Genomic DNA, 26,458 nt, shown 5'->3' with positions numbered 1-26,458 from the left:
CCGGACCTCGCCTACAGCGGGCAGGGCCGGGACGAGAGGACGAGGACGCCGCTCGCTCCTGCACCTCCCCAAGCCGGCTTCGCCGGGCGGGCGGCGGCTGGGTAGTGACCGACCGCCACGAAGCTACTGCCACGTCAGGGCAACTTCACAAATCCCGGACGAGGGCGGGTGACGCAAGCCGGGCGGCCGCGGCAGGGCTGGGCCTGCGACTACCCGAGGAGGCTGACCTCCAGCCCGGGCGCCCGGTTCAGCGCCGCCCCGGCCGGCGCCGGTGCCTGCCAGGCACTCAGGGAGGCGGGGGCGCAGTGGAGGAGGCGGCGCCATCGCGAAGCGAGCGCCTCGCCCGCACTCAGCCTTGCCACCCCGCCCGCAGTCCAGGCTGGACTGGGCGGCATTTGCCGAGGCTCCTCGGCCAGGCCCCGTCCGCCCGAGCCGCGCTGAGACCCGGGCAGCGGCCGCGTGGAGAGGAGGTGGCAGCGGCCCGGGAGGCCGGAGCCAAGCCAGCGACCCACCATGGAGACCCGCTACAACCTGAAGAGTCCGGGTGAGCAGGGCTGGGGCCCCTGGGCGAGGAGGGCGGAGTGACCCTGGACCCCGGGGTGGTCGCCGCCTCGGTCCCCTCGCGTCTGGCGCCACTCGCGGCTCAGCTCCTGGTTTCGCGCTCTACGCGAGACCGCCGCCTGCCCGGGAAGTACAGGCCGCAGGGCGAGGTGGCCGGGTGGACGTCCGCTGCCAATCCCCCGGCCGGCCAGCGCGCCCCGCAGCACCCAGCCTCTCCCTTTTCTCATCTTCGCCTGGTCCCGTAGAGCTGGGTCAGAAACTCATCCCTGAGAACAGGTGTAAAGGTGATGTCGGTGGGCGATAGTCATCAACCCCCTCGCTGTACCTGGTCGCTATTCCCTCCCTGTCGCTGCCACCGGACTTCTATTTACTTCTATTTACTGCCGGCTGATTTACTCACATTTGAGGAGTTGGTCGTTTAAATATCCTATTTGCAGCACTTGGGCGAATACAATTACAGACATAAAGGAAATGTTCTGTAACTAAACCAGTTAACTATAGAGCTAAAGCAAAACAAAACAACAACAAAAAAACACCTCGTTGAGCCCTGTTCTTGAGAGCTAACCTTGATTTTTGCCAGACTGGCTAATATGAAATGTATCTGTATTCAGTCGTAGCGATTCCTTTCCTGCATTTAATGATCCTGCTTTATATTTACACAAGCAGTCCCAGCAATCCTAGCCTCTAATTACTTTCTGGTGCATTATAAAGATAAGCAACTAGCTTTCTCAGCTTAATAAAACAGGCTTGAAATGAATCATTGGATCCTCTAAATGGTATTTTTTCTATCTGTACCTTGATACATTTTGTCAGGGGGAAGAAACTCCACAGTTAACTCTGCATGATAAACTCTAGGATATTAGTGATGATTTCACCAACTTTTGCTGTTGCTTAAAATTTCCTTCCAAAAAAAGCTGTTTCTCAGTAGGAATTAGCAAGACTAGCATCCTTGTGGAAAGAGTTGACACTGTGAATCTTTGGGTTTTTTGTAAGGTTTCAGAATATGCAAAAACCCCAGAAAAGCCTGAGGATATTGATTGGAGGGAGCTTTGTTAGCCTGAGTGCTGTCAGGCTAAGAAATGTCCTTAGGTGACCAAGTGTGTAGAACTGGTCATAATATTTTAGGAGCCACTGACTCCTTAAAAAAATCTGATGAAGACCTGGCACGGTGGCACACGCTTGTAATCCCAGCACTTTGGGAGGCTTGAGCCCAGGAGGTGGAGAGCAGCCTGGCCAACATGGTGAAACCCCGTCTCTACTAAAAACACAAAAATCAGCCGGGCATGGTGGTGGCGCACTCCTGTAGTTCCAGCCACTCGGGAGGCTGAGGCAGGAGGATGGCTTGACCCGGGGAGGAGGTTGCAGTGAGCCGAGATCGCGCCACTGCACTCCAGTGTGGGCGACAGAGCGAGACTCCATCTCAAAAAAAAAAAAAAAAAAAAAAAAAAAAAAGAGAATCCCGGGGTGGGGAGGGAGGAAGAAAAGACCAAAGAGAAAGAGGGAAAGAAAAGCTTAATTTTTAAGCTAGATGGTAAAATGATTGAATTATTTACATTGTGGTATATTTAACTGGAGCTGTTTGGGTAAAAATGTATGGTGGCTCCCTGGTCACACGGTTCCTTAGGACAGCAGAGGTGCTTAGTGAAAGGTCCAGAGGATAATGCACATGTGAGTAGTAGTGCAGTTTAGAATGGAGAACTGGTGGAACCCAAGAGATTGTTGTCAGAAAACATCGCTCAATTTCGATAGGTTAGACTTAATACTATGATGATAAGCTTTTAAAAATCTCCAGAATTTTGTATATTTCCAAAGTATGTGAACTATTGTCAGCTGGTTGAGCTTTGGTTGACATGCTTCTAGCTGTGTCATAAATTGCTTCCTTTTTCTGGTTTCATTTCCTCAAAGATAGTGTTGCTGCTCTAAAAAAAAAAACACAATGCTTCTTAAAAATCTATTTTTGTTAGTGTGTGAATTATTTGGAGTTCATGGAGAAGTTGAATTAGGTAAGATATGGGACTTACTGAAAATGCTGGGAGGCATTGTGAAAATACTTCCTTCCTTTGCTTTATTCTCAGTCCTGTGGTATTTTTAGAGTAATGCCTGTGTGAAGGGGAGCAACTGAAAACTCCAATTTCCTGTGTATGGCAGGGTGCACACACACACACACGTAAAATACCAACATACCAGACAAACAAAAAACAACCACACAATGTGAGGGATATAATCTTTTACTCTTTATCTGATGTGGGATTGTCTTTGATGTATGAGTGGAAAGATTAAGTGAAGACAATACAGATAGCTGGTTAAGGGCCAGTGTACTAGCATGTGGATATAGTAAATTTTTTCATTTCATAGGTGGGGAAACTTTTTGCTTTATGGTTTTTTTTTGGAATGGACTTGTGATTATGGATAGAGCTGTTGTGTAGGATCACCTCACAGTAGTTGTCTGTGGTAGTTGTCAGTAGTTGTCTATGGATCTGCTACTGTAGTAGCAGTAGTTGTCTATGGATCATGCTACTTGTCTATAATCTGTCAATAGTTGTCTATGGATCAAGCTACTTGACCCGTGTTTGGGTCTGCTCTGGCCAAGGAAGTAGGGTCTTATAGTACAAAGTGAAGAAATGTGTATAAAGCACCTCCTTTGGCAGCTTCTTCATCAGGGGGCCATTGACATGTGCAGCAGGTGGTGGGAGTATAAGAGACTGGTGCAAAAGTACCCACTGCCTCCACCAGAAGTCTAAGAGTTACCTATCCATGCCATTGGTGTCAACTGCACCTTCCCACTAATCCACTCAAGGTTTCATGTCCAACTCAGGCCCTTCTCGTAAGCTATAGATACACAGAACTTATGGTGACTCAACATCTTCATTTCCCATAGAGTGAAAAAAATCTCTGTAAGTATAAAGACAAAACTCATCAGTTTTCTTCTCCTCCCCTAAACTTGCAGTTTACCCTAGTATTTCATATCTCAGGGATAGACAGCACTCAGGCACCTATGGGAGTCATTTTTTATTTCTTGGTCGCTTCCTTGCTCCATCCCTGCCCTGAAACACACAACTCAATACACACACAGAAACACATATATCTAATCAGTCACTGTTGTCACCAGATCAATCAAAACAAAAACTGATTACCCCCAAATTGAAAAATTTTCAGTAGCTTTCTGATAGCTGTCAATAAAGTTCAAAGTAAACTGCTTAGCTTGGCCTACAGGGCTGCTCATGATTGACCCTGCCCTTCCTCACCAGCCTCACTGTCCACCACTCTTATGCTCTTCCTCATTTTCTTTTTTTTTGAGGCAGGGTCTCCCAGCCTGGAGTGCAGTGGTGCCATCACAGCTCACTACAGCCTCAACCTCCTGGGCTGAAGTGATTCTTCCACCTCTGCCTCCCGAGTAGCAGGGACCACAGGTGTGTGCCACCACACCCAGCTAATTTGTGTATTTTTTGTAGAGACGAGGGTTTCACCATGTTGCCCAGGCTGGTCTCAAACGCCTGAGCTCAAGTGTTCCCTCCACCTTGGCTTCCCAAAGTGGTGAGATTACAGGTGAGAGCCACTGCACCAGGCCTGCGTTTTTACCTATCCATTTTGCCTGAATGACTCTCTAGCTGGAGTAGCTTTTCTCACTTAGGTGCTTTGGTTCCTGTTGGAACCTCTGCTTAGAATGCCTTCCTTTAAATCCATCTGAAATTCCTATAGTTCTTCAAGCTTTAAGGTTCAGCCTTGTCTAGCTCCCCTAGGCAGACTAAAGTAGTTCCTATATATACTTGTACATATATACTTGGTCAATATTACCACTTGGTTGTAATTATTTTCATGTCTTTCTCTACTGACTGTTACGGAAGACAAGAAGCAGGTCTTGGTCATTGTTTTATCTCCAACACTCAGACATTCTTTAAATGTTTGTTGAACTGATACATTTGCAGGGTCCTCCTGGGCAGAAACATCACTCTGTAGGCATTTGCTTAAGTACCTTCATTATGGGAGCAGGAAGAGGCAGTTAGGGAGCATGCCTTCCTTAATATACCTGTCTCCTGCATTTCACTCATGCTTTGGGAATTGATAATATCAAGATAATTGCTTTTGAAGAGGAATCCATATATGGGAAGCAGTGGCCTGTAGAAGATCCCTTTATTTTTAGCTGTATACAAACCCCAATGTGAGGCTAGTGAGCTAGCCAAGGTGTGTGAAGAATGCTAATGCCTAGGCCCACAGCACCTAGAGCATGGCTCCAGAGTGTCCATGTGGCCTCTATAAGAAAGAAGAACAAGAGCAGGCATCCAGGTGCCACCCCTTCCTTTCCTGGCACATCTTATCTCACCACAGTGAAAGGATTCCATGGAAAAACCTTTCCAAGAGATAGGAGAGGAGCTGGAATAAAAGTTTCCTCTCTAGCCATGTAGAAGCAAGAGATGGAGTATCAGGAGGGGCAGACTATGCTGTAGCCCGGTTGCCAGGCAGCACTGTGAACCATGACTGTTTCCTAACAGTGGTATTTCTCCTCAGGAGCCAGGGAGCCATATCATAAGGCCAGCGAAATCTGCTGAGGCATGGTTTTGAGTTAGGAAGAATCATTGAGAAGGCCTTATATACCAGTCCATTTTCAACCTTAATGACTCAGGGACTGGGCAGGAAGGAGGGGTGAAAAGGAAAGGAGAATTTTGTGGAGAAATTATTGACTCTTATTTGACAGATGTAAACATCAGATCAAGTGACTTGTTCAAGGACTTAGAGCTACAAAATGTCAGAGTCAGAATTTTAATGCAGCTCTAAATCGAGTCCCTGTTTCTTTTCACTGAAGCATTCATAATATATGTTATTTTTGCAAAAAAAATAGCTTATGGAAACAAGAGACTAATCTCACCTTTTGGCTACATGACCTTAGCTCTTACATGGTATGTGCCTGAGTGACTTATGAACTAATTAGCTATTTAGCTGTTGAACCAATGATTGTTCCTTTACAGGATTGGTACAGATACATTCTTATAACAATTCTGACCCTTTATACATCTCTCATAATATCCAGGTACAAGTTTTGAGTGTTTATTTTCTTCTCTCCTGTTGAACTGAACTGAGTAGGGAAGAGGCAGAGAAAATGCGATAAGGGTATAGAATGACATAAAATCTGACTTCAGCTTAATCATTATTGAGTTCAGCCAGTTGACGAGGAATGAAGGAAAAACAATCTTTTTGGCATCTCCAAACTAATTAACTTCATAACAGCTTCCATAATTGCATTTCTATCTAATAATATTAACTTAAAGGAATGATATGTTTATGTGGCTTTAAAGCAGGGTTTTCCATCTTTGTTCTATGGGTCCCTTCAGGAGTGAAATGGAAGGACAGGGAGTAGATAGTCCGCAGGCCCTTCCACTGGCCTCTGCAACCAAAGCGGCTCTGTGGTTTTTGTTTCACCTGTTGGGGTTCTCATTAAGCTTTCTTTGAATGAAGGATTTTGTTTTATTAAATAAGTTTAATTGTTTTATTAAGTAAGTTTAAAAACCATTGCCTTTAATCGGATTCTGAGAGCTATGTTGAGAGAAGATAGTAAAATTTAATTCAACTAATATTTGAGTACTTACCATGTGCTAAGCCCTGAGGAGACTGTACTGCTACAGCTACACTGTCATTACTATTGCTTAGCAGGAAAAACAGATATTAAACAAGTAATTACAAGTGAGATGAACTTCATAAGAGGAAAAATACAGTGTTATGATGGCATAGAGCAAGGAGACTCAACCTGGTCTCTAGGGCAGTGGTTTCTAAACCTAACCAGAGTAATTCAGAGAGCATTCCTAGTCTCTACCCCTCCCTAGGACGCCTCAGAGATTTTGATCTGCCCAGATTGAAATCTCCAAGCACTGTAGGGGGTGGGGGGCAGGGGGCAACCAGGGAAGGTGTCATAGAGACATTCCTGAGAAGTTACTTAAAGGTCTAGGGTAGCCAGACTAGACGGTGAGGCGGAGGATGGGGCCGGAGCAGCCTGGGCCCTGAGGAAAGCTGTATAGAAAGGCTGAGAGTGGAGGGGAGGTAAAGTGTGTTCAGGGAATTGACCAAAGCCCAGTCTCTAGACTTGGAGGGAGAGGGTGTCTCAGTATGTACATATTTCTAATATAGCATTTATCATTCTGTTTTGTATTGACTGCACCTCCCAGCCGTCAGTCTTTAGTGACCAAAGCCATATTTTGTTTACGCATGAAGCTGTAGCATCTAGTACCTAGTAGGAACTCAAGAAATAGTTGATGATCCAGTGAACAAAGTCTCTGCATATAGGGGCTTAGTTCAGAGTAAGAAATGGAAAAGAATATTAATAATTGTGAAGTAGGATAGTAACAACTTTTTTTTGGCCAGGCATGCTGATTCCCGCCTGTAATCTCAGCACTTTGGAAGGCTGAGGTAGGAGGATTGCCCGAGACCAGCCTGGGCAAGACAGGGGGACCCCAGCTCTACAAAAAATTTAAAAATTAGCCAGGCATGGTGGTGCATGCCTGTGGTCTCAGCTATTGGGGAGGCCAAGGTGGGAGGACTGCATGAGCTTGGGAGGTTGAGGCTTCAGTGAGTGAGCTGTGTTCGTACCACTGCCCTCCGGCCTGGAGGGCTTTTTTTTTTTTTTTTAGACGTAGTTTCGCTCTTGTTGCCCAGGCTGGAGTGCAACAGCACGATCTCAGCTCACTGCAGCCTCCACTTCCTGGGTTTAAGCGATTCTCCTGCCTCAGCCTCCCTAGTAGCTGGGATTATAGGCATGTGCCATCACACCAGGCTAATTTTGTATTTTTAGTAGAGATGGGGTTTCACTATGCTGGTCAGGCTGGTTTCAAACTCCTGACCTCAGGTGATCCACCTGCCTCGGCCTCCCAAAGTGCTGGGATTACAGGCCTAAGCCACCGTGCCTGGTTTTGTTTGTTTGTTTGTTTGTTTTATTGAGATAGTCTCTCTCTGAAGCCCAGGCTGGAGTGCAATGGCACGACCTCAGCTCACTGCAACCTCCACCTCCTGGGTGCAAGCGATTCTCCTGCCTCAGCCTCCCGAGTAGCTGGGATTACAGGCGTCCGCCACCATGCCTGGCTAATTTTTGTATTTTTAGTAGAGACAGGGTTTCACCATGTTGGCCAGGCTAGTCTCGAACTCTTGACCTCAGGTGATCCACTCGCCTCGGTCTCCCAAAGTGCTAGGATTACAGGCATGAGCCACCACGCCTGGCCTCAAATGCAATTTTATGCAAAAGTCTTGATACATACCAAACCATTGTGGTTATATACATGTAGGGGTTCCTTCTCAGTTAATCTCTCTCCCCATAACATTCCAACCTGTGCCTCTACACATTTTACTTTTATTATTACCTCTTCCTATTCATATCTACCTGGGGAGTTTCTACTGTTATTTCTTTCACATTCAGTACCTGACTCCTTTTCTCTTCCATTTGCTCTAAAGTTAGATGCCCAGCCTGTCCTCCCAGCATCTGGTGCATACCTCTCTTTTGAGCTACATCAGTGGTTGCAAACCCAGTTTTGAGAAGCCTTTTCCCTAACTCAGCCATCCCACTGCAGTATCCTGACATGTTTTAGCACCAAAAGCTTGAAATGAGAGGGGTTGGGATCCAGAGTGCATATCAAAGGATTGAATTTTGAGAGCCAATAGAAGACAGAGGGTGCAGATACAGATAGGATTGTAGATTGTGATAGGCATCTGAGCAGCTCCTGCTAGCAGTCATTCATCAGGGAGATAAAAAGCTGGGTGCCATTAACTGAAAGAGAGGAGAAATTAGACTAGGTGGGAAATAATCTTGGAGTGCTAGGTGGAAAGAGTAGGCTGGAAGGCCTACTAGAGAAATGTGGGGACATTAGGTGGCATTGTATCCCAGTAGAGGTTGTTGGTAATGACTTGTAATGGCATTACTGCACCATCCTCTCTGACTTTTTTTCCTCCTTTCAGTGATGCTCAGCTGTTTGGGTATAGACAGCAAATAAGATGGTTGGGTTGGGTCAGGCACAGTTGGATTTTATTAAGGGAGTGTACAAGAGGGACTCCTAAGAGCCAAGGGTGTGGATAAAGAGGAAAATGAATATAAGTATAGGAGGGGTGAAGAAAGTTGTGGGGTCAGTGGACTGGAGGTTTTAGTGAAGCTGAAGGATCATTTCAAGAAGGAATTTCATCGGGGCTTTGGAGAGTCAGTGAATTCAGGGGACAGTCCATTCATTTAATGCAAGATAGTGGATGGAAAGTCCCAAGAGTTGGAGGATATAGAGGTGTTTCCTGTTCACCGAGCATGAGATCCAGAGAATACATTTTTTGTTAATAAAGACATTTTAACAGGTAGAGCCAAATTGCCTGTGTTGGAATCCCATCTCTGTCATTTACTAGCTGTGTGACTATATAATCTCTCCGTGTCTCGGCTTCTTCATCTGGAAAATGGGGATAAAAATAATACCTATCTAGTAATGTTGTATTAAGGGTTAAATGAGTTATTAATGTCTGTAAAAGCACTTCAATAAATACCACCATATAGGAAGTATATATAAGTACTTATTAAATAAAAATAGTGTCTTCACTATATATTTAATATATAACTCTTTTAAAGTGTTAATGCCTAGCAACTGTTTCCTTCCTCTCCCCCTCTATTTATTCCCATAATCTTATAATTAAACCTTTGCCATATGCTCATTTGCACTAGTTCTCTACACATTTTTTCATTAGGCTCGTAAGACTGTGCTAATCATTCAGAAAAGTATATTTTAAATATCTCTATTTTATGAATTTTATTTTAGCTGTTAAACGTTTAATGAAAGAAGCGGCAGAATTGAAAGATCCAACAGATCATTACCATGCGCAGCCTTTAGAGGTTAGTTTCTATCTCCATGTTCTTCATATGGATTTTAATATTTAAAACAAATTTTTTAAAATTGCTTTTCATTGCTTTGAGTCATTACAGATGTGTGTGATGTAGTTTGACGTTTTATTCACCATATTTCATGAATATTTCATTAGCCATTCCAAATCACTTTAGAAGAAACGGATTTTGTGGTCTTTATAAAATGGGTCTCAGATGCTAAGTTGAGGTTAGATCTTTTTTTTTTTTTTTTTTTTTTTGAGGCGGAGTCTCACTGTGTTGCCCAGGCTGGAGTGCAGTGATGTGATCTCGGCTCACTGCAACCTCTACCTCCCAGGTTCAAGCAATTCTCCTGCCTCAGCCTCCTGAATAGCTGGGATTACAGGCCCCCACCACCACGCCCGGCTAATTTTTGTATTTTTAGTAGAGACAGGGTTTCACCATGTTGGTCAGGCTGGTCTCAAACTCCTGACCTCGTGATCCACCCGCCTTGGCCTCCCAAAGTGCTGGGATTACAGGCGTGAGCCACTGCACCCGGCCGAGGTTAGATCTTGAGTCTGAGGGAGGGGAGGTGGAAAGAACCCCAGATACTTTACAGTTTGGAAGCCTTTTGATGGGTCTCCGTAGCTACTCAAGGCTTTTTGTATAAACATCTCGGCCTCTCTCAGTCTTCTCATTTGTAAAAGGAGGGTATTTAAATATACCCAGGCAGGTTTTCATGGTAACAGTGGGAATAAAAATATCATAACTTAAGTGCAAGTATTTTGTAAACTGAAAAGTACATGGTAACTGTAAGATGACATTAAATACATTAGTATTACCATTTTATAAATAAGCTCTTAGGCATCTATAAGGGATAATTTTTAAAGATTTGTTAAAATAACCCAAACATAGTAATTTTTTGATTATATAATTATCATAATTTGCTATTCTTTCAAGGATTAATTTCCAATTTAAACCTGTAAGTTACTTATGAATATATAACAACACTCAGAAATTTTTAATGTGTTTATTATAAAATATTTTAGCTCAATGGAACATGAAAGCTAGATTAAATAGCTTTTACTTATAAATTTAATTTATCACTTATAGTCTCGAGACATCTCATGCATTAGAAACTATACTAGCAATAATATAAAGCATTTAATTTTTCTTGCTTGGTAATATTTCTAATATTCAGATAAAATGATCAAACTTTTCAATATTATTAATTCCTTGTGGATTATTGTTTTTGTTCAGGATAACCTTTTTGAATGGCACTTCACGGTTAGAGGGCCCCCAGACTCCGATTTTGATGGAGGAGTTTATCACGGGCGGATAGTACTGCCACCAGAGTATCCCATGAAACCACCAAGCATTATTCTCCTAACGGTAAGAATTTTGGATTTTTAGAGTGCTTGTGGCTTCACTCTTCCTGGTAGCTGCAAAATATAGTAAGCAAATCATTTTCATTAAGAAATAATAGAACAGTATAATTTTGCTTTTGGGGTCCAGGCCCTGGGACTACAATTTTTTTCCTCCAAAATAATTCCTAGGAAGCTGATGCATCTGAGAAGTAAAAATGATACAACTGAATGCATAAATGTCATATCATGGTTGTTAGGATTCAATGAATTAATATATGCCAAGTGCTGGGCATACACATCTGGCACTTCATAAGTACTCACTAAAGGGTAGCTAATGTTATTGTACCTTGTAATCATATTGTCTCCTTTAACTTCCCACCTTTCTTACACTCTCTTCCTCAGTTTTCTCATCTTTACAATGAGAATAATGATACCTACCTCATTGAGTTTATGTGGGATGAAAAGTATCAAGATCTTATTGTATAGCTCTTAGAATAGAGCCTGACACAGAATACTCAATAAGTGTTAGCATTATTATTACTGTTTATATCTCAGATTTTCTCTCTTTCTCTCCAAATTTACACATCTTTTCTTCATGTGAAGGAAAACTTTTTTTTTTTTTTAAGAGACACGGTCTTTCTCTGTTGCCCAGGCTGGAGCGCAGTAGCACGATCATAGCTCACTGTAGCCTCAAACTCCTGGGCTCAAGCTATCCTCCCACCTCAGCCTCCTGAGTAGCTGGGACTATAGGCACATGCCACTGCACCCAGCTAATTAAAAAGTTTTTTGGTAGAGACATGGTCTCATTGGTCTTGAACTACTGGCCTCAGGCAGTCCTCCCATCTCAGCCTCCCAAAGTGCTAGGATGACAGGTGTCACCATCATACCTGGCCAAGGAAAACTATTGATCTAATTCCTCTTTAATTGTTAAGCTTTTCTTCTCTCATTTCCTTTAACTATGTTTAATTATCCCCTAACCTTGAAAAAAGCAAAAACAAACACAAAAACCATTCCCTGTATCTGTTATCACTTTAAGCTGTGCCTATTTTTCTCTTTGGTAACCTCCAAGGCATCCTTTCCGTAGTTTGGCCTGCTGCAGTCCACCTTCCACACATAGTGCCCTGTTGAAACATGAAACTACACCAATCTCAGAGACCAGTTTGAGAAATCTCACTGCTTCTCCTCAGCCTTCATCCTGTTCTCAGTTAAACATCTTACCCACACGGAGTAGCAAATGGTGAAACAACAGGTATTCATCAATAAATACCAAATTAGGCCGGGCGCGGTGGCTCACGCCTGTAATCCCAGCACTTTGGGAGGCCGAGGCGGGTGGATCATGAGGTCAGGAGATCGAGACCATCCTGGCTAACAAGGTGAAACCCCGTCTCTACTAAAAATACAAAAAATTAGCCGGGCGCGGTGGCGGGCGCCTGTAGTCCCAGCTACTCGGGAGGCTGAGGCAGGAGAATGGCGTGAACCCGGGAAGCGGAGCTTGCAGTGAGCCGAGATTGCGCCACTGCAGTCCGCAGTCCAGCCTGGGCGACAGAGCGAGACTCCATCTCAAAAAAAAAAAACATAAATAAATAAATAAATAAATAAATAAATACCAAATTAATGCTGCTTTTACCTCTATTTTGTATAACAGAGAGAACATTTGTTTAAGAGCCAATAGGCCTAGATTCTGACTGGTGCTCTTTCCATTACACTATGGGTGGGTTACACAATGTCTTTAAAATTGTTTTCTCATCAGTCAAAATGAATGTTGTGTTTGGTAATTGTAATCACACCATAAAGTACCTGACATATAGAAGCTGCTTAATAAGTATTAGCTGATATAGAGAACTGCTAATGCTGGCAGTAGAGTTGGAGCAGGGTCCTGGAGACACTCTACTGTGTCAGGAGTCATTTTATTTAGTTGCTAGATCATGGGGAGAGCTAAGTGGTCTTCGGGGAGGGAGGGGCTGGTGCATGGGGAGACTGGTGGTGGTGGAGGACAGTAGTTAGCAGCAGCTCTTTACCAACAAATACAGGTATATTTCAATAGTTAGCCAATGGTATGGTCATACTAACCACACTGGCTGAGAATCAGCCCTGATTTTCAACATTACACTCTTTCTGGTTCACTTCTTTTTTGAAAAGTCTTCTCCAACTTTCATTCAATAAGTATTTATTTATCCTTTCATTCATCACTCCTCTGAAAATCACACCTCTCTCAGAGCCTTTCTCCCCATGTCTTTCCTCACTAACATCTAGTTAGGTGATACTGAGTCCTTAGGTTTCGTCCTGGCCTCTTGAATGTCTTCTCTTTTAGATTCTTTTTTTTTTTTTAACTTGAGATAGGGTCTCACTCTGTCACCCAGGCTGGAGTCCAATAGCATGATCACAGCTCACTGCAGCCTTGATGTCCCACACTCAAATGATCCTCCCACGTCAGCCTCCTGAGTAGCTGAGACTATAGTCACACATACCACGCTTGGCTAAATTTTTTTTATTTTTATTTTTTGTAGAGACAGGGTTTCACTTTGTTGCCCAGGCTGGTCTCAAACTCCTGGCCTCAAGTGACCTTCCTACCTTAGCCTCCCAAGTGCTGGGATTACAGACATGAGTCACCATGCCTGGCCTCTTTTAGATTCTTAACTGAGCCTAGCTCCATACTAGGCACAGGGTAGGACATTAGTAAATCCTCTCCCCTCCCCTCCCCTCCCCCACTCCTTCCCTCCTCCCCTTCCCCCTCCCCTCTCCTTCCCCCCTCTCCTTCCCCCTTCCCCTCCCCACCCCTCTTCCCTCCCCATCCCTTCCCCCCTCCCCTCCCCACTTCCCTCCCTTCCCCCCTCCCCTCCCCTCTCTCCTCCCCCATCCCCTCTCCTCCCCCCTCCCCCCCTCTCCTCCCCTCCTCTCCTCTTTTTTTTTCTTTTCTTGGGGACAGGGTCTCACACTGTCACCCAGGCTGGCATGCAGCAATGCAGTCATAGTTCACTGTGGCCTTGAACTCCTGGGCTCAAGTAATCTTCCTGTCTTAGCCTCCCAAGTAGGTAGGACTAGAGGCACATGCCACCACTCCTGGCTAATTTTCTTTCTTTTCTTTTTTTGGTGACAGTGTCTCACTAAGTTGCTCAAGCTGGCCTTGAACTCCTGGCCTCAAGTGATCCTCCTGCCTCAGTCTCCCAGAGTGCTAGGATTACAGGCGTGAGCCACTTCGCTGGCCAGTAAAACTTTACATGTTAATTATTTAGATTTCACTTGTGCAACTCAGTTTCAAAAGGTGCTGTAAAACACCTTCTAAAAACAGCTTTTATTATTCAGCATCCAACAAGTATTTTTGGAGTCTATAAGGACAAAAAATCTGTGTCCCATGAGAGGTTACATTTAAAAAAAAATCTTTTTGGCCGGGCGCGGTGGCTCATGCCTGTAATCCCAGCACTTTGGGAGGCCAAGGTGGGCAGATCACAAGGTCAGGATATCGAGACCATCCTGGCTAACACGGTGAAACCCCGTCTCTACTAAAAATACAAAACATTAGCCAGGCCTGGTGGCAGGCGCCTGTAGTTCCAGCTACTTGGGAGGCTGAGGCAGGAGAATGGCGTGAACCCGGGAGGTGGATCTTGCAGTGAGCTGATATCACACCACTGCACTCCAGCCTGGGTGACAGAGCGAGACTCCATCTCAAAAAAAAAAAAAAAAAAAAAAAAAACAAACTTTTTAAGATAATCTCTAAAATTATTATATATAAATAGTATATTTTTACAGAAAGTATAAACATTAAGCACATGTATTTAATTTTCTAAATGCATTGTTTATTCCTCAGGCTAATGGTCGATTTGAAGTGGGCAAGAAAATCTGTTTGAGCATCTCAGGCCATCATCCTGAAACTTGGCAGCCTTCGTGGAGTAGTAAGTGTTAATTTATAGTGAATATAAATCTCATAACTTCAGTCAATTCATAGTTATGAAGTATAATACTCTGATTTTTTCTTTTTCCAGAATAAACCCAGTTGCTTTTACAAAGCAATTTAGATTGATATTTACTTTTTTATTTCAGTAAGGACAGCATTATTAGCCATCATTGGGTTTATGCCAACAAAAGGAGAGGGAGCCATAGGTTCTCTAGATTACACTCCTGAGGAAAGAAGAGCACTTGCCAAAAAGTAAGTTTTGCATTTCATTCTTCTTGAGGTCTGAATAGTATTCAGGGTAATGGCTATTAGGAGGTAGGGCCTACCTCTTACTATGTGACTTATTTTCTGAGTGACTGTAGCTACAGGATCTTATCTCAGTTTTGCTCTTTTAGGAATTCAGTTGTAATAATTTCCTTGGAGTGACCAGAATCTAAGTAATTTATTTAATGCTATCTAGTCTTAAAAAGTAGTTGATACTATTTCACTATTTTTAAAAAATTCAGTGGGAGATATATTCTCCTGGAAAACAATACCAGTCATTTGTTTCCACTATGGCATTATAGATGGAAAAGAACCAGAGCAATTATTTGTAGCTTTCCACAAGATTACAAACCTCTTGAGGGCCAAGAGGTAATCCACTTTATCCATCTTTGCATCTAGCTCATAGCAAGTGCTTAATAAATGATCTGGAATAAAGCAAAAGAGATTTTATCAAGTTGTGATTGCCCAGTGGCAATCACAAACAGAGAAGTGATGCCTTCTCTGTTTTTTTCAGGTGCAGGTGCACTTTTGTCTATATGACCAAGATCAGTCCTTCCATTCAGAGTAGCCCCTCTTTGAGTAGTGCTGATACCTAATTTTTGATGTTGATAATTTTTCTGCTCTGGAGTCTGCTGCCTACCACCCTTCAGACATATTATGTTAATTAAATTATATCATATTTTACCCTAGCACACCCCAGAGTAGGCCCTCTACAGATATTTGCTAAATCAGTTAGATTTTAGCATCTGGAAGATTTGGTAGACTTCTTGGTCTTATAAGCAACTTTTCTTTTTAAACCTTATTTCCAAACTATGGGTATGTACTTTATTTATACAGCTCTTCATAGATTACACTATGTACTTTGAATACATAGTATTTGTTTTCATTCGATTTACTACGTTGGTTTTTTTATCTTGATGCCTTTATCCAGTTGATTTCATGTGCGAGGTAAAAAAAAAAAAAAAAGAACTGGAGTTCTTGTTCTTCTAGGCTTCTCACTGTATATTCTAGATTCTCAGTCTATAATAGAAACCTTTTAAAAAATGATTTTGGGCCGGGCATGGTGGCTCACACTTGTAATCCCAGCTCTTTGGCAGGCCAAGACAGGTGGATTGCTTGAGTTCAGGAGTTCGAGACCAGCCTGGGTAAAATGGCGAAACTGCAGCTCTACAAAAAAATACAAAAATTAGCTGGGCGTGGTGGCACGTGCCTGTAGTCTCAGCTACTTAGAGACTGAGGTGGAAGGATTGCTTGACCTGGGGAGGTTGAGACTGCAGTGAGCCATGATTGTGCCACTGCACTCAAGCCTGTGGGACAGAGTTGAGACCTTGTCTCAAAAAAAAAAAACAAAGATTTTTGCATTCAACCGTGGTAGCATGCTACCATTGTGGATAAACTAATACATTCAAAATAAACACTCCCCTTAAGGTTCATCTGACTCAGTTAAAAGTGAATACATTTTGAAGCAAATAATTTGTATATAACCAATTCTCAAAGGTGTGTGGTCAACAGTGCCACTTCTGGTAAAACAAGAAATACTCATCAATAAATACTAAATTAGGCTGGGCACAGTGGCTCATGCTTGTAATCCCAGGACTTTGGGAAGCTGAGGCAGGAGGATCGCTTGAGCCTAGGAGTTCTGGACCAATCTGGATAACACAGGGAGACACTGTCTCTACAAAAAAAAAAATAATAATAAAATGAAATAAAAAAAAAAAATAAAATAAAATAAAAATTAGCGGGGTGTGGTGGCACACACCTGTGGTCCTAGCTACTTGGGAGGCTGAAGTGGGAAGATCACTGGGGTCTGGGAGGTTGAGGCTGCAGCAAGCCATGATTGCACCACTGCATTCCAGCCTGGGTGATAGAACGAGGAGACCCTGTCTCAAACAAACAAACAAACAAACAGAAAAACTAAATTATTGCTACTTTTACATATATTTTGTTTATATGATATTTCATAATTTTAAATAGCATGTTCTTCAAGACCTAAGGTTTTTTAATAGAACTAGAAGTACTATGAAAAACAATTTTTTAGAAGGAAGTTTAACAGTGTAACAATATATGTTTTATATATGATGCATGTTTACTTTCAGTCATTCATATCCTCAGAGGACTCTTGTAAACTTCAAGGAAGTTTTGACTATATCTGGAATACAAAGGGAAAAATGGAAAAACAAATATATTTTAGAAAATAATCTAGTTAACAGACATATCCTGAGTCTCTACCTAATGTATAATCAGCAATAAATTAAGTCTTTGGATTTTCTGCAAGTTCTCCCAAGTCTTTCAAGTTATACTGCTATTTGTGAGGGGTTTTTTTTTCCCTAGAAATATCTGTAAATTCTATGTTTAATTAGTTTCTTTACTGCTTTATATATATTTCTGCTAACAGATAATTTGATCTTGTTAAAGGACTTTTTTCACAGCCTTAAAATAGGTTTGTTATATGTGATCTCAAGGACAGTATAATAGACAATTTTCTCATTGTATAGATGTAAAACTTATTTTTCTTTAGATAGTTTATTGGAAAAAATAGCATCTGAGCCCTGGATTTTTTTAAAGCCAGCCTAACATTTACTTGTCTCAGGACTATAATCATTACATTAATTTTCTAATTCATAGCATGTGGATAAATGTGATGTGGAATTTTCCAGTGTTCCTTTCTTTTAAGTTTAATGATCGAGCATTTGAGTGTCTCAGTGAGAGGGAATTAAACATTTAACTATTTATTTTCATTTAAAAAATCTTTTTCTACTAGATCACAAGATTTCTGTTGTGAAGGATGTGGCTCTGCCATGAAGGATGTCCTGTTGCCTTTAAAATCTGGAAGCGATTCAAGCCAAGCTGACCAAGAAGCCAAAGAACTGGCTAGGCAAATAAGCTTTAAGGTACTATAAATTCTTAAATAAATGCTAATCTTGCAACCCTTTTGTTTACTGCTGGATTCTGCATAGAAAGGAAAGCGATGCAGTTCTATTACAATATGACATTTGCCAATGTTTTTCTTTTTTCATATTTTTATATTTTTAATTTCTGTGGTTACATAGTAGGTGTATATATGTATAGGGTACATGAAATGTTTTAATACTGGCATGGAATGTTTTTCTTATTACAAAATTCCTAACTACATTCATGAAAGCTTTATAGAATAGTGAGGGAGTGAAACTTGAACTCTGGTATACAATGCCAGGGTTCAAATCCCAGCTCTGTTGCTTATTAGTAGTATGATGTCAGACATATTAATTAACCACTTTGTGCCTTTTTATTATCTATAAATAATAATGGTACCTAAATCATAGGATTGCTGTGAGGATTGAATTAATATATGTAATACATGTGTTGCATTCAGAACTGTCCCTGGTGCTTAATAAATTCTAGCTATTATTACAGAATATATAGATAAGCAACAAGAAGAAAATGATGGCCGGGCGCGGTGGCTCACGCCTGTAATCCCAGCACTTTGGGAGGCCAAGGCGGGCGGATCACCTGAAGTCAGGAGTTCGAGACCAGCCTCAACATGGAGAAACCCCGTCTCTACTAAAAATACAAAATTAGCCAAGCATGGTGGTACATGCCTGTAATCCCAGCTACTCGGGAGGCTGAGGCAGGAGAATTGCTTGAACCTGGGAGGCAGAGGTTGCGGTGAGCCGAGATCGCGCCATTGCACTCCAGCCTGGGCAACAAGAGCGAAACTCCATCTCAAAAAAAAAAAAAAGAAAAAAGAAAAAGAAAATGACATTCATAATCTCACCGCCAAGAAATAGCTACTGTTAATATTTTGGCATCCCTCCTATATATCCCTTTTTTCTGTATATGTTTTACCCGAACATAGGATTATATAATATTTTAATACTTTGAGTATTAAATATTTAATTATTGAAGGTATTAGCTGGGCGCAGTGGCTCACGCCTGTAATCCCAGCACTTTGGGAGGCCGAGACAGGCAGATCACGAGGTCAGGAGATTGAGACCATCCAGGCTAACACGGTGAAACCCTGTCTCTACTAAAAATACAAAAAATTAGCTCGGCATGGTGGTGTGTGCCTGTAATCCCAGCTACTTGGGAGGCTGAGTCAGGAGAATCGCTTGAACCTGGAAGGTGGAGGTTGCAGTGAGCCAAGATTGTGCCTCTGCACTCCAGCCTGGGTGACAGAGTGAGACTCCATCTCAAAAAAATATAAATAAATAAATACATACATACATACAGACGTAAAGTATTAAGTATTTAATCCTTCTGGAATTTAATTAGCTTCACAAACAGAAATGTCAACCTGCATTAAGCAGCATGCTCTCTTCCTCTTCCCTCTCCACTTCTCTATGGACTGTCTGTCTTTCCAGGTCCAGTTCCCTTCTCTTTTATTGTAGTGCCTGGAGGAGGAGTTGCTCAGAACATGTTTACTTTCTTCCTTCTGAGGATTCCTATTACACTTAAAATTGCTTCTGAAAAATCTCAGGACCAAATGTGTTTTGTACATGAGAATTTTTCAGACTTAAGAAAAGATCTTACATATACCATATATTAACTAACCTGCCGTGCGATCTGGGGCAGCACCTCATAATCAAATCCATTAGGATTTCTTCAGCAAATCTGGGAATATTACATTAATGTGGGATTAATGTTTACACTAATGTGGGATAAAGACTATTCATAGGTTCACATCAGCTCATATCAGGCTTTGCCTAAAAATTACCAAAAAAACCTTGAGTTTTGAGAGCTTTTTAGCATTGTGGATTGTGAACCATGGGTGTTAGTTTTGTCCCTCATCAAGTAACGGCTTCTTGAGAACAGGTGTTGTGTATGCTTCTTCCTATGATACCTAGTACAGTGTTGGACACAAGAGTGCTCAGTGATTAACTGCCTGATAATAGATATTAAACTAGCAATTAAAATAAATCCAACAGAGAGGATTTAGCAGGTTGTAGATTGTGTATGTTTCCTGTTGTTTCCTGTTGTCACACTGCTCTTGGGTCTATCTTGTTTATAGGCAGAAGTCAATTCATCTGGAAAGACTATCTCTGAGTCAGACTTAAACCACTCTTTTTCACTAACTGATTTACAAGATGATATACCTACAACATTCCAGGGTGCTACGGCCAGTACATCGGTATGGCTCTTATCTTTTAATATATATGTATGTCTCTATCATTATCACTGTTTGCAATAGGAGGAGAAGATCCTGGATCAAATATCTGAAAAATTTGGTTCTCTTAACAACTGGATTCTAACTCATCAGTCCCGCTAATGAATTATTATGTTGAGCAAGTTGTTCATGCTTTCTGGCCTCAGTTTTCTTTTTTTGTTAAATGGGGCTGGATTAAATAATTTTTGTCTTGTCCCTCCAGAATTCTGTGATTCTCTGAAAAGTTAATTTTAATATAGTGTTAGACTGAATAAAACAAAATATCCATATGTTAGCCACTTTCTAAATAGACACTATTTTTGGCAGGATTGTTCAGCTGCATTAAGGTACTGACTTAATAAAGTCGTAGAGCCAAAAATTTACTTAGACTTGCTCTGTCCAACACAGTAGCCACCAGCCACATGCAGGTGTCTACATTTAAATTTAATCAAAATCAAGTAGAATTTAAAATTCAGTTCCTCAGTCACACCACATTTCAAGTGCTCCATAGCCACATGTGGCTAATGGGTACCATATTGGACAGTGTAGACATAAACATTACTATCATCACAAAATTCTGTTGGACAATGCTACCTCGTATATACTAAGTGTCCAATAAATAATTGTTGAATAAAAGAATGAATGCTATGAGTGTTGTTAGTGGTGCCCTGACCTGTTGTCTAAGAAATTGTTTGGCCTAGGTGATCAGAGAGAGTGATTTAAAAAATATGACTGGATTGGTGCCAAAAAATAAGGATTATGGGAAAAAAATGATTTTCCTTCCTATATATAAAAGATTAACTGTCTTTGGAAGTCTTTTTGGTAACAGATTGTTTGGTTAAGTAGTCACATTTTTTTTGTTGTTGTTTCTCCAGTTTATTGAAGACTTTAAAGGGTGAGGGAAAATTGAAATAGAAGTTGGGCAAATATAGATTTGCCCTTTACCCAGCAATAACGTACGTAAAGTGGGAGTGAATAGTCTTGAGTGAGTCTCTCCTATTCAGAGAGTGAGCTGGGCAGAGAAAAGTTGGTTGAAGAAGAACAGGGTGGTAGTCTAGGGGGACTGAAGATGGAGGTCCAAGAAAAAAGTGTGTAGCGATGAGTTTAAATCATTTTTGTGTGATCCCAATGTAATTTTATGAATTGCAGGGGAAAACAATGAATTAATTTTAAGGTCAATATGTTTTAGTTCAAGATATTGAAAAAGCTTTCTAATTACTTTTTATTTCATAGTTTTTTTTCTAATAGAAGCATTCTATTACAAAAAGGAAGGTGGTAATCTTTTTTCACCTTTTAGGACAGCCTCCTAATGTTTGTGATGTATTTAAATCTTTTGTGTATTTTCAATCTATGTTAAGTCCCCTTGTTACATATTCCAGTTATACTTATTCCAGTTGTAATTTACTTTGTAATTATTTATTGTCTATCTCTCTTCCCAGAATGTAAGTTCTGTGAGGGTCAGGGGTCTCTTTCCGCTTCTCCACTGTATCCCCAGTGCCTGGCTTAGTGCCTTCTATATAGTAGATTGCCAATGTTTGTTTGTTGATTGAATGAATGAATCTTAGGATTGGTACTTTAAAAAATGCTAAGAATACAATTAAATAAATCAAGAAGTTTAAGTAAATTAGAGTGTACAAATAATGATGTTATTATAGTAGTATTTCTTGTTTTGATTTAGTACATAAAACTTAGAATTCTTATTCATAGATACAGGTCATTAATTGAGACTATTTTTAGTGAAAATACCAACAAGCAATAAATTGTCTAAAATTGCAAGTTAAGTTTTTAATTATATTTACATATAAACTATCTCAGAGTATGATTATATAATTTGACCACTATGAAAGTAACTGAAACCTGGTTTGGCTAAGGGTGGTTATTTTACATTAAGTATAATATAAATTAATTGAGATGTTATACATCAAATCCCAGATAAGCTATGATTTTTTTGTTGTTGTTAGCCTGAAGGAGAGGCAAGAGATTGCCACAACTCTAAATACCTCAGATAACATCAGGCCATCTGTTGCTTTTTAATGCAGATATTTTAGCATCAAAAAGCAATGGGAAATGTAGAAATGGGAAAAACACTGAAGGCAGTTTTGTTCTTGCAGTCTGTCAGATTTTCTCCTTTTCCCAGGGTAGGGATCGAGGTTCTGAATAAGCCATTTCATTTTATAATAAAAAGCAAAACTCCCTCACACATGCTGGTTATTCTAGAAAAATTTATATATATATCACTAGGGACTTAACTAAGAATGTGATTTTTTATCTTTTTAAGGGAGAGTCTCACTCTGTTGCTCAGGTTGGAGTGCAGGCATGTGATCATAGCTCACCGAAGCCTCAACCTCCTGAGCTCAAGTGATCCTCTTGCCTTAACCTCCCAAGTAGCTAGGACCACAGGTGGGCATGACCACACCTGGCTAAGTTTTAAAATTTTTCTGTAGAGATAGTGTCTCACTATGTTGGCCAGACTGGTCTCAGATGCCTGGGCTCAAGCAGTCCTCCTGCCTCAACCTCCCAAAGTGCTGTATGATTGTTTTAAATAGGAAAAAATTTAGAATTTTATAATATCAAGGCACTTAATTTTTAGTTAGTGATATACCATCCAAAAGGCATCTGAGGCTGGGCACGTTGGTTCATGCCTATAATCCCAGCACTTTGGGAGGCCAAGGCAGGAGGATCGCTTGATCCCAGGAGTTCAAGACCAGCCTGGGCAATGTAACAAGATCCCATCTCTAAAAAAATAATGATTAAAAAAATAGAGACAAAAGGCATCTGAAACATAGGAACCTAATTAAAACATTATATGTATATACATATTTTCATTAAGCGTATGTGTTAAAATATCATCTAGACCAATGTTTTAAGGGATTGTTTTTCTAAATATATTAATAAAACTATTAAAAGGCCAAAAAGCTGTCCTAACTTATGACTTTTTTTTGAACCTAAATTTAGATGCCCCTCAAGGGATGTATTATTAGTAACAATCATTCTTGGTAGTGTTGCCCTTAGTCATATGTTGTCCTCTGAGATTGTGTATTCTTGAATAGATAACAAGTGTATTTACAAATCTTCTTTGCCAGTTTCAAACAAAGTTTCTTAAAATTTCCTAGTACGGACTCCAGAATTCCTCAGCAGCATCCTTTCATCAACCTACCCAACCTGTAGCTAAGAATACCTCCATGAGCCCTCGACAGCGCCGGGCCCAGCAGCAGAGTCAGAGAAGGTTGTCTACTTCACCAGATGTAATCCAGGGCCACCAGCCAAGAGACAACCACACTGATCATGGTGGGTCAGCTGTACTGATTGTCATCCTGACTTTGGCATTGGCAGCTCTTATATTCCGACGAATATATCTGGCAAACGAATACATATTTGACTTTGAGTTATAATATGGTTTTGTGACTTATGAGCTGTGACTCAACTGCTTCATTAAACATTCTGCATTGGGTATAATCTAAGAATTGTTTACAAAAAGATTATTTTGTATTTACCCTTCATTCCTTTTTTTGATCCTTGTAAGTTTAGTATAAATATATCTAGACATTCAGACTGTGTCTAGCAGTTACGTCCTGCTTAAAGGGACTAGAAGTCAAAGTTCCTTGTCTCACTATTTGATCTGCTTTGCAGGGAAATAACTTGTTTTTTCTCATGTTTCATCTTCTTTTTATGTAAATTTGTAATACTTTCCTATATTGCCCTTTGAAATTTTTGGATAAAAGATGATGTTTTAAGTTCCAATGAGTATTACTAGTTACTCAATACCACTTATTGAGTACTCTGTTTCTACGTATGTAGAATGTATAGGGATAGAAGAGTTGAAAAGGGAAAGCAAAACTCCTCAAGTAGCTTCCTTAAAATGTCATTCATAGGAGATGTACTGGAATTGCTCATTCTGTGACTTTATTTGTGTCCTAAACATTCTTCAGTGAAAATAATTTTATTTCAGTCAAACATTTATGAGGAAATGAGATCACATCTTTGTCACTGGATGCTACTTGAAGAGGGAGTACTTTGTAACCACTTTGATATGCTGTTATCACCACCCCCTGCCCTCTGCTGCCATAATCACACAAATTTAAAAAGAAAGAAAACAGTCTTCCATAGATTTTTAAGGAAGAAAGGGCCCAAGCCAGGAGATCGCTTGGTTTTCTTCCAGAAGTTAAATGGGGGGATCTGAAGATTTGAATGTTTGGTCTGCTTTGAAATGTATGTCTTTTGGGATGTATTATATGCCTAGCTTTATAATCAGTATAAATTTTAATTATTCCAGGAATATGCATAATATTGAAATATTTCATGTCCTATTTTAATAGAAAACCTCAGGGCCCAAGTAACAGTGATAGAAGTTAGAAAAACCTTTACTTAGAATTGTCCACCTAGTCAGAGCCCAAGAAAGAATTTTCAGTGGAAAAATCAATATATAACTTAGTGCTAGCTAGCGCCACAGACTCTAGTAGATAATATTATCATCATAATGGCTGGTGAAACCATATAATCACAGAAAAACATTGCCTTCAGCATGTTCAGTTCGCAGCACTGAGGGCACTCTTGAGGGTGTTGTTAATGAAGATTTAATTTTTAAATACAGGTGGTTCCAAGCTTTCAAATAGGTTATGCTCCAAAAGTGTTATTTGTAAGTTAATTTTTTTACAAGTCAAACAATGTTGGAAGTGGTATTTAGGTTCTAGATCGGTCCACGAAAGTTAGCCCATATGTATATCTTGAATAGTATAGGGGAGGGTATTCATAAAGTCCTTATGTGGTTTTAACTAAGTGAAATTATGGACAAGAGAAATAATTGTAAAATCGTCTTAAAGGAAAATTTAATTTTTACTCCTGTTTATGGGACATTCGTTCTATTAACTGTCAGACACAATTTCTGTTTTCATCTGAGAGCCAGTTTTCCTTTATTTCTACATCTAAAATAAGAACATATTGTACACTATTATATAATACAGAATTGTCTTAAACTTTAATAAATTCGCATTTTAAAGGTGTTTACAGATTATTTTTTATATCTGTAGCTGAATTTGTTAAAGTCTAAAAAGCTCAAGGACTTTATGAAGATCTCATTATATGAGGAAAATCATAGGTTACCATTTTATAACTCTATTGCCATAAGAAAATACACTCTAAAATCTTGATTTGAAACATATTAGAAACCTTGATTCAGTGCTCAGTGGTCTCCTAGTAAGAAGTCACCGACGGTAGCGTCATATGAGAAGAAAGAAATCCCCACCACCTCAACCTCTGCTGAGATTGTGTGCTAGGAACAGCCTTCCCTCCGTTTCCCCTCAGTCAAACTTGAGCCAGCCTCTGGATCGATGTGATCTTATTGCATGTTTCCATGGGGTGTACCTATACTTTAAGCCAATCCTGCTGCATTCACTGCTAAGTTAAATAAAAAGCCAAGAAGATTTTGCACTGTGCAGATCCTTTGCTATCTGACTTGCATCTCTTCCCCCACCTGTCAGCTAGCCACCTGCTTGTTTGTGTTGGGATATTTTTTAGCACCTGAAGCACCATCTGAAAGGGGCACCATTTTCTTCTTCCCTTTGATCTCACATATGCTCCCTAAAAATCCTTAAGTTGTCAATCTGATCCCCAGTGTGAGGTTAATGAGCAAAATTGGTCTTTGGGGCCCTTTTTGTCCAAGCCCCACTGAAAGGCCTCTTCAGAAAACTATTATCTTTAAAGCCCTACTTTAACTCCTTAATTCCAGCATACAGCTAAAACTGGATGTATATTCTGGCAAGTAAAGGCTGAGGACTCCTCTTTAATCCTCAGATCTAGATAACTCATGACATTTTATTTGACCAACATAGCACATGATGAGATATCAAGGTAATTAAAATAGCATGCTTGAAAAAAAAATACGTAATCTGTTTCACCTGTAACTGTTTAAGCCAATAAACTTTTCAAAATTTATGTAATGTGGGGCTTTTATGTAGCACTTTACGTTTTCATGCTGCTTATTGTTTTATTCTACTGAAAAAAATGAATTTCAAGATTCTCAACTTTTTTAATTTCAAAAATTGTTTATTGTTTTGACTATAGGAATACAAAATTTCCTATTTTGGGAGAATAAGAACTCTTTTTGTCATTTTTGGCTATGAATAAACTTTCTGGTCTTTTGAGACCACCCATTTTTATAGATCAGAATCAGAAAACAGGTAAACCTCACTCACACATTTGGACTCATTTGAACAAAAATCTAGGCCAAAATACTGAAAAGCCTATGTGTTTTTTTAATTGGAAGTATATGTAAGGTTAATGCATTTAGTGAACGTGACTAACAAAGACTAATGTGCACATTAACAGATGTACTTTTTAAGGTTTTATGGGAGGCTGTGCATTGCTCAAAAGCTGTTGGGAACGCCTTCTGAACAGTTGCCTTCAGAACTAGTTTGAGCTGCTCAATAAAACCAGTGACTTTACTCATA

General features: G+C 40.4%; 1 protein-coding gene across 3 annotated transcripts, besides 4 other annotated features; it reads left to right on the top strand.

The window, feature by feature from the left end:
- Positions 10–719: a silencer, noted in NCBI's record as "silent region_17390". NCBI's record gives its function as "represses an Ori minimal core promoter by ATAC-STARR-seq in GM12878 lymphoblastoid cells {active_cell/tissue: GM12878}" and the evidence as "EXISTENCE:reporter gene assay evidence [ECO:0000049][PMID:35858748]".
- Positions 10–1,055: a biological region, named in NCBI's record as "H3K27ac-H3K4me1 hESC enhancer GRCh37_chr6:90061747-90062696".
- Positions 106–1,055: an enhancer, noted in NCBI's record as "H3K27ac-H3K4me1 hESC enhancer chr6:90061747-90062696 (GRCh37/hg19 assembly coordinates)". NCBI's record gives its function as "activates a minimal SCP1, AML or CMV promoter by ChIP-STARR-seq in naive H9 embryonic stem cells {active_cell/tissue: H9 hESC(naive)}" and the evidence as "EXISTENCE:reporter gene assay evidence [ECO:0000049][PMID:30033119]".
- Positions 361–26,458, top strand: UBE2J1 (ubiquitin conjugating enzyme E2 J1). 3 transcript variants are annotated; one of them, NM_016021.3, is made up of 8 exons: positions 361–544; positions 9,327–9,400; positions 10,628–10,759; positions 14,540–14,624; positions 14,773–14,878; positions 17,652–17,781; positions 19,878–19,997; positions 23,126–26,458. In NM_016021.3, exons 1-8 carry the CDS (start codon positions 514–516, stop codon positions 23,402–23,404), a joined length of 957 nt encoding a protein of 318 aa, NP_057105.2. In that variant the 5' UTR covers positions 361–513; the 3' UTR covers positions 23,405–26,458. The 3 variants fall into 3 exon arrangements, with proteins under 3 accessions (NP_057105.2, XP_011534190.1, XP_011534189.1); XM_011535888.4 differs by having other exon boundaries at positions 23,096–26,458; XM_011535887.3 differs by lacking the exon at positions 19,878–19,997.
- Positions 750–809: a silencer, noted in NCBI's record as "silent region_17389". NCBI's record gives its function as "represses an Ori minimal core promoter by ATAC-STARR-seq in GM12878 lymphoblastoid cells {active_cell/tissue: GM12878}" and the evidence as "EXISTENCE:reporter gene assay evidence [ECO:0000049][PMID:35858748]".

Source organism: Homo sapiens, chromosome 6 (genome assembly GCF_000001405.40).
Source record: "Homo sapiens chromosome 6, GRCh38.p14 Primary Assembly".
NCBI lineage: Eukaryota > Metazoa > Chordata > Mammalia > Primates > Hominidae > Homo > Homo sapiens.
The sequence above is the reverse complement of the archived record's forward strand: the minus strand, read 5'-3'. Positions and strand labels throughout refer to the sequence as shown.